The sequence below is a fragment of the Homo sapiens genome, chromosome 21, assembly GCF_000001405.40.
Source record: "Homo sapiens chromosome 21, GRCh38.p14 Primary Assembly".
Classification (NCBI taxonomy): domain Eukaryota; kingdom Metazoa; phylum Chordata; class Mammalia; order Primates; family Hominidae; genus Homo; species Homo sapiens.
In genome coordinates, this window is record NC_000021.9 from 40,923,233 (window position 1) to 40,937,603 (window position 14,371).

General features: G+C 43.1%; 4 annotated features.

The window, feature by feature from the left end:
* Positions 1,079-1,580: an enhancer, noted in NCBI's record as "H3K4me1 hESC enhancer chr21:42296237-42296738 (GRCh37/hg19 assembly coordinates)". NCBI's record gives its function as "activates a minimal SCP1, AML or CMV promoter by ChIP-STARR-seq in naive H9 embryonic stem cells {active_cell/tissue: H9 hESC(naive)}" and the evidence as "EXISTENCE:reporter gene assay evidence [ECO:0000049][PMID:30033119]".
* Positions 1,581-2,080: an enhancer, noted in NCBI's record as "H3K4me1 hESC enhancer chr21:42296739-42297238 (GRCh37/hg19 assembly coordinates)". NCBI's record gives its function as "activates a minimal SCP1, AML or CMV promoter by ChIP-STARR-seq in naive H9 embryonic stem cells {active_cell/tissue: H9 hESC(naive)}" and the evidence as "EXISTENCE:reporter gene assay evidence [ECO:0000049][PMID:30033119]".
* Positions 11,659-12,160: an enhancer, noted in NCBI's record as "NANOG hESC enhancer chr21:42306817-42307318 (GRCh37/hg19 assembly coordinates)". NCBI's record gives its function as "activates a minimal SCP1, AML or CMV promoter by ChIP-STARR-seq in naive and primed H9 embryonic stem cells {active_cell/tissue: H9 hESC(naive and primed)}" and the evidence as "EXISTENCE:reporter gene assay evidence [ECO:0000049][PMID:30033119]".
* Positions 13,076-14,275: an enhancer, noted in NCBI's record as "BRD4-independent group 4 enhancer chr21:42308234-42309433 (GRCh37/hg19 assembly coordinates)". NCBI's record gives its function as "activates an origin of replication core promoter dependent on BRD2, P300/CBP, MED14 and CDK7 cofactors, and independent of BRD4, by STARR-seq in HCT116 cells {active_cell/tissue: HCT116}" and the evidence as "EXISTENCE:reporter gene assay evidence [ECO:0000049][PMID:35650434]".

Sequence of the window (14,371 nt, forward strand, 5' to 3'; positions counted from 1 at the left end):
TCCTGGAGGGCCCTCCGAGTGCTTTGATTCCTGGGAAAAGCAATTCCCTGAGCCTTGCTGTGCTACACAACCAAGATGGCCTTCCTGACATCATTTCCCCAAGTGCCCTTGATTCAAAAGGTTTTTTTTTTTGATGATTCTATTTGACACAAAGTCCTAAGAGTTCCTGTTCCTGCGCTTCGAGAGTAGCCGTCACGCATATTTTATCTCTATAAATTATGAGAAATTGAGCCATCATGGGGTGGGAACAAAACAGGACATGTTCTTTATTTCCCCTTTTGTCCCCTCGAGGCGCAGCGTGGGCGGATAGAACTTGGGAGAGGCAAGAAGGTACTCCTGTTGGCTGAGAGCTCAGGAAGTTTTGGACCAAAGCCAGGCCACCTCAAGAAAAAGGAGAAAGGGAAAGAAAATTCCACAGTTGGTGGTAGAACTGTCTCTTTGCCTGGGGGAACTTTAGCATTCAAGTTATTAAATAAAGCAGCCCATCTGGCAGTTGGCTATGAGAAGCAATTCATACCATTGTAAATGGATTAGTGAAATGTAATTCCTTTCACATTTCAGTTTCAATTATTCCAAATGGGTGCACGATTCTTAATGTTCAGGAATTGTTTTGAATGTCTGCAGAAATGCAAAAAGTAAATATGTTTCCTGTTAGGGGGCTCCAAAGAATGTTTCCCATTCTCGTTCTTGCCGTCTTTGCCTTAGTCCACCTTTTTAGCGCCAGGTCAATCAGCAGCCTTATTTAGGTACGAAGAAGGGAATTCATTTGTGTTCACTGAGAAGACTTGAAATGCCCCGGGGAAGACCTGAGGAGGGGCTGTTGTGGTCCTTACCCAACGCTCTCAAATGGTGATTCTGACAGGAGCCTGGAGCTGGCAGGGTGAGAGTTCCTACCCCTGGAGCCTGGCTCTGTTGAATTCCTAGAAGAAGAGTAATTAACATGGGCTGCAGCAATGGCTTGGGAGGGTGTTTGCATCTACCTGAACTCTGCAATTACATGGCACAGCCTGGTGTGGAATCCAAAGAGCAGCCCTCGGGATGATCATGAACTTGGGTGCTACCTCAAGTTGGGAGCAGCTGAGCCCTGCTCATCACCCAAGGGTGGGATCACCTCAGGGCCACCCTGCACACACAATGGGCTGTTTTTGCTGGTCGGTATTGATGCCCTTTATACATGTGGTACTGAGCTCAGTGACCACCCAGGTGGTCAGCACTTGTTGCCCCTTTTATACCAGGAAGCTATGAATGGCTGCAGAGAGACAGGCTGTAAAAGTCAAGTCCAAATACAGAAATTCTATGGATTGTAGCTGCAGAAAAAAAAAAAAAATCCCTTTCAAATGTGGTACTAGGGAGTGGGGGAGGAATGTTGTTTTCCCCTGGGAAATCACGACTCCACGAATTTCATTCACAGAGGTGATAGGAAAATATAAAAGCTGGGCCAAGTGGACAAAAAAAAAGGCAACAAGAAGTACAGCCTGTTTGATCACAAAGTCAAGGAGGAGCAGCTTCAGGCACAGGGTTGGGGGCGGGGGGCTTCCCCGCGTGAAGCCAAGGAATGCAACGTGGATCTCACAGAGAAGGACCCAGGCAGGGGCAGGGGAAAGGACAGCTGTGGAGGAAGTGACCAGGCCCAAAGCAAGTGACGGTGCAGGACACGTGCAAATTCCACAGCCACTGGATGCTAGCACAAATAAGTGTGAGAAACACACTCCCGGCTGGGGTGTGAGTGCCTGAGAACCACAAACGTACCTCCGTCCTGCCTGCATTCATGTATCCCTATTGCATTCAAGTTGCCAGTACTCACCACCAAATACATCTACAATGCCCAATTTAAACCAATGTACTGGAAATGTCATTGAGTGCCAGGGGTTACACAGAACCTGCAGCCCAAACCTCTCCAGGCTCCTCAAGGAAATATCTGGCTCCAAACTTTCTTTTAATTACTGAAAATCCCAGATGCTCCACATATAGAGAGATTAACAGATGCTCCAGGGGACAAGGTCTATGAACATGCAATTACCCTACAAATTCATAGTATTAGTTCTTGGTTTAAACAGATTTCCTTCTTTTACCCAGTTGAAAAGCATCTCTGGAAGTCAGAAGTAGTAACTAGGTGTTTTCCCTCCATTTCATCTCTGCCCCCAAATAAAGAAAAAAAAAAAGTCTCTCTGACTTATTTTCTAGCTCCAGGTCAAAGGACAAAATGGAAAGAACATTTTGAGGCTGTATTTTCTCATTTAGAACCTTCTTACCACTTCTCGAATGAGCATCACGTTGCATAAGAAAAGGGTTTCCCCCACCCCTCACCTGTGTTCACAGGTAGGGCCGACTCTTTCTTTCCTGCACCTGGGGTCACACAGAAGATTCTCAAGTGGGGCTTCTTCTACTTGCATTTCAGAGCTAGACAGGGCTGGAAGAATGGTGATACACGCCTGACCAATTTTATTGTCATCTGTCAAAGAGCCCACTAGCCCTGTAAGAGGGAGACAGGTGATGGGAATAAAGAAGCTAGAGTTTCAGGGCTGCCATCACGGTCTGGGGTTTCATTGCAATATTCTGTGATTTTATGGGAATGCAAATAATGGATACGAAGGAAGACAGAGAATGAGAGACCTGCAGAGGTAAGAGTAACTCACCTGAAGTCGAAAAGAGGCCAAGGCCCAGGCTATTTCATGATTTCTTATCAACTTTTATTTTTATATTCCAATCACAGCTGCCAGTGGGATTAATTTTAAGTGTATATTTAACTCCTAACAGAGTGGAGCTTGCCACAGTCTCTACCATAATGAGACAATTGTAAATTACTCATACAGGAATAAAAATGATCCAGTTAAACGATGTAGATTAGCTGTCTAAACTGTCCAAACTCGCTTTCTTTCCTCCTTTGAGGACTTTCCTCCTTAGACTCCTATATAGTGAGTCTCTGTGTGTGTGCACCAGTGTGTGTGTGCACAAGCATGTATATTTCTGTGTTTGTGTGAGTGCTTCTCTGAGCAGTAATTCCACCCAAGGAGTCTGCACTGTGCTAAAACCAGTGGGTGCTTTAAAAAAAAAAAAAGAGAGAGAGAGATGGGTGTTTCAGGGATCTCTGAAATTTTTTTCATGGTATTAAGAAATACAAATATTCCTCAAAACTGAAAAAAAAATTTAGAATAAATCTATTATCTGATAGGGTAGGAGAGGGAATTTGCTGAGTCAAGTGTGATTAAAGCTGAACCATCAGATTTACATCCTATACAAATTGTCAACTTCCAGAAAGGTCACATGAAGATTTTTCCAACAGAGCAACTACATTGGAGTTCAGCTGGAATTGCACTAAATCTAAATTTTCCACAATGTTCTAGAGAAAAAAATGTAAACTCCTGTTTGTTTTTTCCTGCTCTTACTGAACTCATGGTCTCAGCCCTGCTTGGATCTGGGGGCCGTTTAAATGTCTGATAGAATCTATGGACTTTCTTCCCCAACAGACCCAATTTAGATACAGATTTCAAGAGTTTATGAATCCTTTGAACCAGATACATTGACCATTTAGAAAGTTAAGAACTCTAGACTCATTCTTTAAACAAATATGTACCAAGCATTGACTATGTGCGAGTCCATTACTAGGTACCAAGTACACAGAGATCTCAGAAAAAGTGGTCTCTGTTCTCAGGAAGGAGAACAAGGGCAATATGCAGATAAGCAAATAGTATCTAATAATATAAGCAGCAGATAAGCAAATAATAAATAAGATAGCTGCTAATCATAATGAATTCTAGGAAGAAAGTAATCTGGAGTGGCTCACACTGCCCCAGGAACATGATTATAAGATCACATTTCTCTAAATTTTATGTGTAATAGAGTTTTGTGGGTAGAAAACAGCTTTTAAATACTAGAATTGACTCCACAGTATCATATTATTATTCTAGATCAAGAGACTCTTAGGATCCTGAGTCTCCCACAAGGGAAGGGATCTCCCATTTAGTTTCTCTCCATTACTCACAGATAATCCCACCTTCTTGAACTCTTTCCAGAAAGAACCAAAAGGATGCAACTTCACAGGGCACCCTGCTCCATTTGAACACTCCCAGTTGTTAGATCGATGTCTTTTACTTATAACAACTTGAAATTTGACTTTTTATAACTTCCAAACAAGTATATTATGATTATTTCTAAATTATCAAATAAAGGATGAGTCTCACCCATCCTTTTGTAGATCCTTCCATAGGCTCTTTTTTCTAGGTTAGACATTCAGTTTCCATAGTAATTCCTGAATAATTAACTCACCATACTTCTCATTCCAATCTTTTAAAGCCCTGGAGCTGAACTGAATAATGCAGAATATTCCATAGCAATCACCATCTTTGGCATAAAGCATTTTATTTATATTAAGCCTCAGATTGCTTTTATTTTCTTACTTAATTCAGTACCCCACTGATGCTATTGAGCTTCCCAGTAATTAAAACCACCTCAGCGTTTCTGTTAACTATTCTTAATCCAAGTCGTCTCCTTTCTACTGTTTTTTTTTTTTAATCTAGCTTCTTGAATTGAATGCTTAACTAATTTACTTGTCTTCTTTAAATATTTAAGTATTTATTATACAAGACTATTATTTAGTAAGACTAAATATTACATATAATTTTATTTGTTCAAATTAAATAAAACCATTTAAGGCTATAAATGTACCAGGAAGTGCTGCTTTGGCAGCATCCCACCAGTTTCTTAAGCAGAGTTTCACTGTTGTTCTAACTACTTCTTAATCTGCACTGCAAATTTTCTGCTAACTAAAGAGGTATTTAGTAAAAGCATAATGTGCATTTGCTGTATTATCTGAGAATATTAAATTCTGCTATAAAGACAAGGACAAAAACAGGATGGATGACACCCCATGTGTATTAGTCTTCTCACGCTACTAATAAAGACATATCCAAGACGGGGTAATTTATAAAGGAAAGAGGTTTAATGGACTCACAGTTCCACATGGCTGGGGAGGCCTCACAATCATGGTGAAAGGCAAGGAGGAGCAATGTCATGTCTTACATGGTGGCAGGCAAGAGCACGCGTGCAGGGGAACTCCCCTTTATAAAACCATCATATCTCATGAGACTTATCTACTATTATGAGAACAGCATGGGAAAGACCTGGTCCCATGATTCAATTCCCTCCCACTGGGTCCCTCCTATGACACATAGGAATTATGGGAGCTGCAATTCAAGATGAGATTTGGGTAGGGAGAGAGTCAAACCATATCATTCTTCCCCTGGCCCATCCCAAATCTCATGTTTTCACATTTCAAAACCAATCACGCCTTCCCAACAGTCTCCCAAAGTCTTAACTAATTCCAGCATTAACTCGAAAGTCCACAGTCCAAAGTCTCATCTGAGACAAGGCAAGTCCCTTCTGCCTCTGAGCCTGTAAAATCAAAAGCAAGTTAGTTACTTCCTAGATGCAATGGGGATACAGACATTGAATAAATACACCCATTCCAAATGGGAGAAATTGTCCAAAACAAAAGGGCTACAGGCCCCATGTAAGTCCAAAATCCAGCAGGGCAGTCAAATCTTAAAGTTCCAAAATGATCTCCTTTGACTCCACGTCTCACATCCAGATCATGCTGATGCAAGAGGTGGGCTCCCAAGGTCTTGGGCAGCTCTGTCCCTATGGCTTTGCAGGGTACAGTCCCCCAGATGGCTAGCATTGAGTGTCTGTGGGTTTTCTAGTATATGGTGCAAGCTGTCAATGGTCAGATCTACCATTCTGGGGTCTGGAGGACAGTGGCCCTCTTCTCACAGCTCCACTAGGCAATGCCCTGGTAGGGACTCTGTGTGGGGGCTCTGATCCCACATTTCCCTTCTGCATTGCCCTAACAGAGGTTCCCATAAGGGATCCACCCCTGCAGCAAACTTTTGCCTGGGCAGCCAGGCATTCCCATGCATTCTCTGGAATCTGGGTGGAGGTTCTCAAACCTCAATTCTTGGCTTCTGTGCACCTGCAGGCTCAACACAACATGAAAGCTGCTGAGGGTTGGGGCTTTCACCCTCCAAAATCACAGCCCAAGCTGTACCTTGGCCCCTTATAGCCATGGCTGGAGCAGCTTGTATGCAGGGCACCAAGACCCTAGACTGCACATAGCAGGGGCCCCTGGGCCCTGCCAGGAAACCATTTTTCCCTCCTAGGCCTCCAGGACTGTGATGGAAGGGGCTGCCATGAAGGTCTCTGACATGTCCTGGAGACATTTTCCCTATTGTCTTGGTGATTAACATTTGGCTCCTCCTTACTTATGCAAATTCCTACAGCTGGTTTGAATTTCTCCCCAGAAAATGGGGTTTGCTTTTCTATCACATCATCAGGCTGAAAATTTTCCAAACTTTTATCCTCTTCTTCCTATTGAATTCTTTGACACTTAGAAAGTTCTTCCCCAGATACCCTGAAACATCTCTCTCAAGTTCAAAGTTCCACAGATCTCTAGGGCAGGGGCAAAATGCCACCAGTCTCTTTGCATAGCAAGCATGACCTTTACTCCAGTTCCCAACAAATTCCTCATCTCTATCTGAGACCACCTCAGACTGGACTTTATTGTCCATATCACTATCAGCATTTTGGTCAAAGCTATTCAACAAGTCTCTAGGAATTTCCAAACTTTCCCGCATCTTCCTACCTTCTGAGCCCTCCAAGACTCTAGGAAGTTCCAAAGTTTTCCACATTTTCCTGTCTTCCTCTGAGCTCTCCAAACTGTTCCAACATCTGCCTGTTACTCAGTCCCAAAGTTGCTTCCACATTTTTGCATATCTATACAGCAGCACCCCACTCCCAGTACCAATTTATTGTATTAGCCTGTTCTCCAGCTACTAATAAAGTCATACCCAAGACTGGGTAATTTGCAAAGGAAAGAGGTTTAATGGCTGGGGAGGCCTCACAATCATGGTGGAAGGCAAGGAGGAGCAAAGTCACATCTTACATGGTGGCAGCCAAGAGCACGTGTGCAGGGAACCCCTTTATAAAACCATCAGATCTTGTGAGACTTATTTACTATCATGACAACAGCATGGGAAAGACCTGGCCCCATGATTCAATTACCTCCCACTGGATCCCTTCCACAACACATGGGAATTGTGGGAACGATAATTCAACATGAGATTTGGGTGAGGACACAGCTAAACCATATCTTCATAGAAGAGATGGAAAGTCTGGGCTTAGACAAGTTGCTTCCCTGGGATCACAAAGCTGGTGAGCAGTTCAACAGGATTAGACTCTAAATCTCCTTTGACCTTTTCTCTTCACTATGATGGGAATGGAAAGTATCATCAGAAATGATAGAAAGTGTCTATAAAAGGAACACTGGCACGGGGCTTGGGACACTCACTGCCTGTGTCTGCTCATCCCTCAATGAGTTAAATCACCTTAAGTGAGTCATCTGATCTCTCTGAATCCACCTGCTCTTACGTATAGAGAGCAAAGTAGTTGGACCTAGGTGATGGCTAAGGCCCTTTTCAGCATTGACATTTTTGGTATCTCCCAAAATACAAATTGGCAAATTTCATTGGGATTTGCTTTTAGAAGTGGCTTCTGTTAGTCAGTCCCCCCACAGATGGTCAAGTCCATGCTGCACTGCACAAGGCTTTGATATAAAGGAGCACAAATTTCCTGTCATTTATGTAAAATACATCTTCTTGGCTTGGAAATCAAAGAGATTTTTTAACTGCCAATTCTACCCTGTCCATTTGGGAACTGATGAGTATTTGAAATGTTCCCATCATTTAGGGAATTTCCTGGCCTCTCCTAGTGCTCAGTGTGGGGGGCTAGCCCTGCACTCCTGCATCCTGAGGTGTCAAGAGAGAGGACACCTGGATTCTGTCCTAAGTGGAGAGAATTGGAGGACGGGGATGGGGGGGTAGATAATCATAGAAAGATAATTTCAATATTCAGCTTTTCACTTGCTTTCTCTGTTTCATGCTTCATGCTTCCTTAGTATGAGACAAGTAAGCATTGGCTAGGTGAAGAGGTAGGGAGGGAGTTTTTCTGTTGGATGAAAGCTTTGTGGGACGAGCAGCAGCATAGTTAGGCTTCAGAAATGTGTGTAGTATAGTACTTGAGGTAGTGCATGTAAGGCAATATATACGTTGCATGACAAGAATAGAAACAAGCTGGGTCCAGCCCTGCAGGGCCAGGTCAGCAGCATGAGAAGCCAGTCTGTGCTGAAGGCAATTGGAGGCACGGAGAGGTTTCAAGCAGGAGAGTCATATGACTAGATTCCCATTCATGAAAGAGCTCTGTGACTGCTATAAGCATTTTACAGTAGCCAGTCTGACAGCCTGGGCATTGTTTAGGAGATAGTTGCAGCAATTTTAGTGAGAGATAGTGCAATTATGCAGAGTTAGGGATATTGCAGGAGTGAGAATAAGTTGTTGAGGTTGACTTTAGAGCTCTGGTTTGGGAGCTAGGGCAGTAGTGAGGCCATTCATTGCTATCACAGAGGACTCAAAAATAGAGAAGTGAATAACTGAGTTTTGGAGAAGTTGAGTTACAGATGGGGTGCGGCAGCTAAGTGACACTATTTGGCAGAGTGGAGCACCTTCAGCAGATAGAAGGAAAGATGGTGGCTGATAGCAGAGGGAGCAGATGAGAGTAATGGGAACACAATGTAGATTTCAGTGGGTGGTGGAATAGATGCAAGGTATAGAGTGGGGACAGCAAGTGTAGACAAGTTGGCTTCTAAAAGGAGGAGAGACAGAGGGACACATGGGGTTGGGAAAGTTGCTGTTTTGTTTGTGTTTTTGTTAATAAAGGAGATTGGGGTTGGTTTAAATGCTCACGGCAGTGTAACAGTAGAGAAAATGACCCTCACGTCATTACTCAGCTAATGTAACAGCCTAGCACCAAACACATGTCTAAGCATGGCATTTGGGACTTTTCATAAATCAGCCTACTATGGGCAGAATTATGTCCCCAAGAAACATATGTCCAAGTCCTAACCCCTGGTACCTGTGAACATAAATTCACAGGCTACATAAGGCAATTTAACTGGAAATAGGGTCTTTGCCGATGTAATCAAGATGAGGTCAGAGTAGATTTGGGTTGAGTCTAAGTGGAGTCCTAAGTGGAGAGAATTGGAGGGTGGGTGAATGGATAATCATATAAAGATAATTGCAATACCCAGCTCTTCACTGTCTTTCTCTGCTTAATGCTTTTTTAGCATGAGACAAGTAAGCATTGGCTAGGTGAAGATGTAAGGAGGGTGTTTTTCTGTTGGACAAAGGTGTCCTAAATCCAAAGAGTCCTAAATCCAACAACTGGTGTTCTTACAAGAGGGAAATTTGGACAATAAGATACACACAGGAAGTAGGCCATGGATGACAGAGGCAGGGATTTGGGTGAAGCTTCCACAAGCCAGGGACACCAAGGATAACTGGCCACCCCCAGAAACTGGAAGAGTTTTCAGAGACAGCATGGCCCTACGGCTCATGAATATGGGACTTCAATGACTTCTAGAGACTCCCAGCTTCTACAACTGCAAAAGAGTGGATTTCTGTTTGTTTGGGTTTTGTTGTTGTTGTTGTTTGTTTTTGTGTTTTGTTTTGTTTTGTTTTGAGACAGAGTCTTGCTCTGTCACCCAGGCTGGAGTGCAGTGGCATGATCTTGGCTCACTGCAAGCTCCGCCTCCCAGGTTCACGCCATTCTCCTGCCTCAGCCTCCCAAGTAGCTGGGACTACAGGTGCCTGCCACCACGCCTGGCTAATTTTTTGTATTTTTAGTAGAGACAGGGTTTCACCGTGTTAGCCAGGATGGTCTCGATCTCCTGACCTCGTGATCCACCTGCCTCAGCCTCCCAAAGTTCTAGGATTGGATTTCTGTTGTTTTAAGCCAGCTGGTGTACATTAGTTTTTTCCAGAGGCCCTAGGACACTCTGTCCCACCCCTCCCGAGTGTGTGAACCTGGCCCCGCAGCCACACCTGGCACTTTTCATCCCCAGCGGCTCCCTCCAGGGTCCTGCCTCCATGTCTACTGATTTCTTCCCACCTCCTGAGATGTCCTTTCCCCACCTTTTTGCCTTGAAATTCTTTCCGTCCTTCCAAACCAAATCTATGTTAGGCTTAACGTCTCTCTAGAGAACCCATCTGTAGCTCCCATGGTATCCTGCTGATGGGCACCTGTCACCCTTACCTCATCATGTTTCGCACAACACTGCTCTGATGTGTCCTCAGCCACACTGTTAACCTCTGAGAAGAAGGCTAAGCCATTTTTATCTCTGCCTCCCCACTGCTGCTGAAATGGTGGATCTTTCGGGGCCTAGCCAGGAAAACAAAATCCCCATCAGATAATTTAATAGAGGAAATATAACTGGGAGAATTAAATGCAAAAGTATTTAAAGAATTAAAAGCACACACAGCGGAAAGGGAGGCAACCCAGAGATTAGCAGCACAAGGAGACTGGAGAAACAAATGGAGAGGACAAGGGGAGGAATGGAACTACCAGCAGGAGGGGAAACCACAGAGAACATGCATCTGGGGCCAGAGGCTCCATCCAGCACAGAGGGAAGCTGAGGAAAGTCCCAGCTTCTCCTTTCCCCTGACTTCCCCAATCCAACCCAAAACCAGCAGATGGGGGCTGCAGGCCTGGTTATGGGGCCAGCCCCACTGTGTTAAGGAGCAGAGCATAAAACAGCCCAGAAATAGATCCAAGGGCAAGCAAGTGGACCGCACAGATGGCAAAGGCTGGGATTTCTCAGGCAAATGAGTCAATTTTTAGCAAATAGCTAAAAATGCTGTAACACGGTTGCCGTCATAAGAGCCAGACAGCAAAGAGGATGCTGTAGACACATGGTGGAGCATTTGGTGAGGCCCTGTAGTTGGTGGAATAATCCCCCCCAGCAAATGCCTTCACCCCAATCCCCTGTGGATATGTCACGTTATATAGTGAAAAGGACTGCCTGATGTGACTGAATTAAGGATCTGCTGTTGGCGAGATGATCTCTGATTATGCAGGGAAGCCCCATGGAATCACCAGGGTCTTTACAAAACAGATGCCAGAGGTCGGTAGGAGATGTGGCCAGAGAAGCAGCGCTCAGAGTGATGCAAAGGGGGCCTAAGCCCAGGAATGCAGGCAGTAGTCTCCAGGAGCCGAAAAAGGCAAGGCAGCAGGTTCCCCCAGAGCTCCAGAAGGAACCACGCCTGCCAACTCCTTGATCTCAGCCCCCTAAGATTCATTTTAGACTTCCGATCTCCAAAAACTACGGGAGAATAAACTTGTATTGTTTTAAGCCACAAAGTTTGTGGTGATTTGTGGCAGCAGCAACAAGAAACTAGTTAGTACGCATCCTTCATGAGGAGTCAGACTTAAGGAGAGAGGGGTGTCCAGATTTAGTGTGAACCAAGGGCTTACCGTCCTGGTGAAGGTGGTAGGTGCTCAGGTGAGAGAAAAAACAGAAAGGAAAAAGGAAGGAGAGGAAAGGCCAGGAAGGAGACTTACTTACCTGCTGGTCATGTGCATCCCAGAGGTAGAAAGGATTGGGTGGGCAATTGCGAGGCTACACTAAGGAGCCTTCAAACTCCTAGCTGAAGAATGTCTATTTTACGTGGCTGTTAGAGAAATATTAAACTCAGTAGAAATCTGGCCATGCATAAAGATCCAACCGCCACTGCCTGGAATGGAGTAATTGCCCAGCGACGCTGGTATTTGTGGTTAATCTGAATTATTTCGGCAAAGTGATCCTGTTTTTGTTTTGTAGATTTTTTGTTTTATTTCTTCCTGACCTGTATTGTTCAACACTTGCTTTGATTTTCCACTAGAAGACCTAATGCAAATCTGGATTTTTCTTTTCTTTCTTTTTTCTTTTTTTTTTTTTTTTTTTTTTTTACTAATATAAGGTAATTTCAGTCAAAAACCACTAAACGCTGATAAAAACTCTAGGTGAACTCTGTATCTTTTGATTCCTTTTAGCCTAATGGCCACTGATTACTGTGCTGATCTAGGAAGCTGCTTATTCGTTTTACCACCAGGCAGCCAGCATGGAATTCCATTGCATTGGTGTGCTTTGTTTAACTTTTTAAAACTCCTGATGTGAAGTCTCCTGAAACTAACCTTATTTTGTCTAAAATTACAGTTAAATCCACTTAATCCACATGGTTCTGTAAAACCATTGTCTGTAAGTTATTTTGATTTTTTTAAGTGCATTTGCTTTATTTTGAAAGCTCAGGTCTAACCAAATATTTCTCTAAGAGTTCAATTTGGAATCAAGGCTAACAGAGCTGACTGGAGGATCATTTTCACATCACAACCTTCTGAGTCCTGGGAACACACAATGTCACCATTGTCAACATTGACTGGTGCATTCGTGATGGACAACAGGTTGGTTCATTACTGCAAACAGGCCCCAATTAGTTTGCTAAATGTGTTGTTATACCTGCATATGTTTTTTTTTAAATGTCTCTCTCCAACCACTCATTTCACCCTTTCAAAATGTAAAAGATTTTATAACAGGTTCCCAAGGTCACTGATGGGCACAGTGTACCTAAGTTTCCTATCCCTCTTTTTAAATTTTTCTTGTCTCCTACAACCATTTTATATCAGTGATTTAAAGTATGTTGGCATTGAAATTGGTTAGCAAGTTGATCTTTAAATATATTAAATCAGCTTGACATCTTATGATTATAGTAACTATTATCACTATTGCTTTAGAAACATATAAGTGAATTCAGATTTTAACAATACACTTTGTGATAAATACAAAATTAAATGAGACTATCTACTGAAATGGGCGAAGAGAACTAGAAAGTACTAAATTACAGAGTCCATGGCCAAAAGCACAAGATGGCATATTTTCCATCAACCAACTCAGTTGAGCTTGGCACATAGTAGGAACTCAAGAAATACTTGTGTAATGAATAAATTAATGAATGAAAATGAATTAAATAAAAATTAATTGCGATGTGGAAGAAATAATTTATCCATGACATAAAATTGTAGCTCATACTCTTCTTGGCAATATTTGTGCTTATGGAGAAAAAAATAAAATAAAATAAGTAATCCTCAATAAATTGTGAAACATTCCAGCTCCAGATATGACATGTTATGACCTTTCCATTGCTTTTAACTTGAGCACATTATCTGTGGTGCAGCTGAAGCGCTCTGAGATCAGCTTTCCTTTCTGCCAAGCGAGTCACAGTCATTGGCAACAGGCAGGAGCTCTCAGATCTGCCATGAACAAGATTAACTGAAGTACAGTTCCAAAAGAGAACTGGAGACCACCAAACATACATGTTTTTTAGAAGAAAGCAGAGAAGTGGGGGAAATCTTGGAAAATCTGTTTTTACATCTGAAGAGAAATTAACAGGAGTAGCATGACAAGGACTGCTGAGATGCACAGAGGTAAATAAGAGCATCAGGGTTTCCTCATATTAGCTAAAGCTTTATGATCCAAATTCTCTAGGAACTGGGCTCCACTTTTTGACTCCTTTGGTTTTTTGTTTGGTTGGTTGGTTGGTTTTGGAGTTTGTTTGTTTGTTTCCTTGAGATGGAGTTTCGCTCTTGTTGCCTAGGCTGGAGTGCAATGGCGTGATCTCAGCTCACTGCAACCTCCGCTGTGCTGTCCAGTGGCCTCCGCTCCTCCCCTGCCACCTGCTTCCATGAGCTCATAACATTCCAATGGCAAATCAGTGATTCCGGAAGAGGAAACCAAGCCTCAGTGCCTGGGAGGCGCCTTTGTCTATCCAGGAGTGGCTCAACTCAAATTCCTTAAGAAATTGGGTGTCCATGGAGACTAGGTTAACTCCTAATTCCAGGTGGCAGTTTCTCAAGGAAGTTACTCAGCCTTTCTCATTTCGGGGAATTCACGTAACATGTTGTGTCTTTGGTTTTCCTTCTGATGCGTGCAGTTCTGAACAGTGCGTCCTTGAGGGAATTGTCATGCCTAGCTCAGACCCATTTTCACAGTTTTCTGCTAGCTCTGCTGAGTGACTCACGAACCTCCATGGCTCACCTGGGTCACCTCGGGCAACTGCTCCTCTGTCCAACAGCACAGTTTTGCTGCCTCTAGGCTGATGGTCACTCTGAGGGAAATGGGGCAGGAAAGTACCTGAATTCAGAACCACAGGTGGTCCCCGGTGAACTTTCACCCTAGGAGAGTTTGACATTCAAAGTAGAATATAAGCTCCATGACAGCCAAGTGCCTAGGACAGCCAGGTATACAGTAGAAACTTTAAAAATATATATATGTATACATGTCTAAATATATACATATTTTTATAATATATCAATATGTTTTTAAATATAATTATATATATAATTTTTGTAACTTTTCTTTTAATTTCAGGGGTACACATGCAGGTTTGTTACATAGGTAAACTTGTCTCATTGGGGTTTGTTTTACAAATTACTTCATCACCCAGGTATTATT